This window comes from Homo sapiens, chromosome 16 (assembly GCF_000001405.40).
Source record: "Homo sapiens chromosome 16, GRCh38.p14 Primary Assembly".
NCBI classification, from domain to species: Eukaryota; Metazoa; Chordata; class Mammalia; order Primates; family Hominidae; genus Homo; species Homo sapiens.
In genome coordinates this window covers 86,465,749-86,467,536 of record NC_000016.10, presented here as the reverse complement: position 1 = coordinate 86,467,536, position 1,788 = coordinate 86,465,749, and the positions used below count along the sequence as shown (strand labels likewise).

General features: G+C 50.2%; 1 annotated feature.

The window, feature by feature from the left end:
- Positions 1–1,200: an enhancer, noted in NCBI's record as "BRD4-independent group 4 enhancer chr16:86499943-86501142 (GRCh37/hg19 assembly coordinates)". NCBI's record gives its function as "activates an origin of replication core promoter dependent on BRD2, P300/CBP, MED14 and CDK7 cofactors, and independent of BRD4, by STARR-seq in HCT116 cells {active_cell/tissue: HCT116}" and the evidence as "EXISTENCE:reporter gene assay evidence [ECO:0000049][PMID:35650434]".

The window sequence follows — 1,788 nt, the reverse complement described above, 5'->3', positions numbered from 1 at the left end:
ACTGGCCACAGTTCTCACCCAGGCTCCTCTCAGCAACACGAAGAGCAGGGCAGGGCCACTATAAGATACCAGTTCCTGAGCCCCCACCCCAGGGCCATTTGAACCTGTGCTCCTGGGGCTACCTTAGGCATCTCTAGCTTGTCGGGTGCTCTGGATCATTCTAACGCATCACCAGGATTGAGAAAGTTTAGGCTAGAGCGTTCTTTTTTTTTTTTTTCCCTGAGCAGCGATCCACTTAGAGAAAATGAACCACGCTGGGTTGAGCTTCCCAAGGACAAACTAAGGGAAGACAGTTGGTGATAGCTGGTGAACAGCAGCTGGGCGGACAGCCATGTGAAAGGCGGGCAGATTTAAAGAGTCATCGAAGAAAGTTATATCTGGGGACATGGGGCGAGGCACCGTTATTCTGCAGAGTTGGTTTTCTCTTCAAACCACTGAGGCCTGGAATGGGCCCAGATATAATAGAATTGACCATACTGCCCACTTATGATACAGACCACGCAGCCTCGTAAACTGCCTTAGAGACCTATAAACTGAAATAACAGCTCCTCACCCCCACCACCACCCCTTCCCTCCAGGCTATTTGTTTGGCTTGGCCGAAAGCGGAGTTCATGCCTGGCGCTGTTACTACTTCACTGAGTTTTTAGGGTGACTCACCTCTGCGTTGCAAGTTTCCCCTCGCTGCCTGCGAAAGAAACCTCTCTGACGTCTGCGCTGCCGCTGAGGTTCGTCAGGGCGGTCGGAGGCCTTGGGTCCGATGGAGGCTGCTGTCTCTGGGCTCAGGCCGCTCGGAGGGCAGTCTCGTCGTCCTGGGGGCCTTGGCCTTCTGTGTGAGGCACACAGTATCAGTTTCAGGGGTGGGTGTTGGGTCAGAGGGTGGGATCCTCAAGTTCTGGAGGGTCTGCAGTCACCCGGGGCACTGCTTCTGGCTGAACCTGAGCACGGCATTTGGCCAGGTCGTGAGTTTTGCTCAGCAGAGCACGAGGAGGAAGGAGAATGCTGTTAACCTCAACCACTGGGCAAAATGGGGCTCCTCAAGTGTGGGGCAAGACAGCCTTGGCTGAAATCTGAGCTCGCACAAAGACCTGCTGAGTGTCCTTGGATAAATTACTTAAAGGAAACAAAACAAAACAAACAAAAAAACTTTCACCGTGCCTCAGTTTCCCCATCTGTAAAATGGAAATGATAACCATAGTGCCACATAGGCTTGTTTTTAAGTATAAAATGAAGTCAGCCATGGAGAGCAGTCCTGCAACAGAAAGTATTCACTCTACCAGTACATCCTTCCATGCCTCTATCCACCCCTAAACCCATGTTTTATTTTTATCTTTTATTTCATTATTATGATGATGATGATTATTTGTTATTGTTTGCAGGCATCAGGTTTCACCTCTGGAGCCCAACTAATGTAACCCAAAAGCCTCTGTTTAAGGTTTCAACAGTGCACATTTGGAGCTCCCTGTGGAAATGCAACTGTCTCCTGGCAACACGATGGGGAGACTCAGAACCTGGCAATTTCTAGGTGGATAAAAAGAAGGAGGGATGAGAGGACACTCCAGGGAAAGGGAGCTGCACAGGCAGAGGTGCTTTCTTGAAGGTCTGAACTTGTTAAGGGCAGAGGCTGAATCACTAATCCATTTGTTCACCCATCCATACATTCACCCACCCATCTATCTACCCATCCATGCACTCACTCACCTGCCCATCCACCGTTTCATCTACCCATTCATTCATCCATTCACACACCCACCCACCCATTCATCCATTCACTCACCCACCCACCCACCT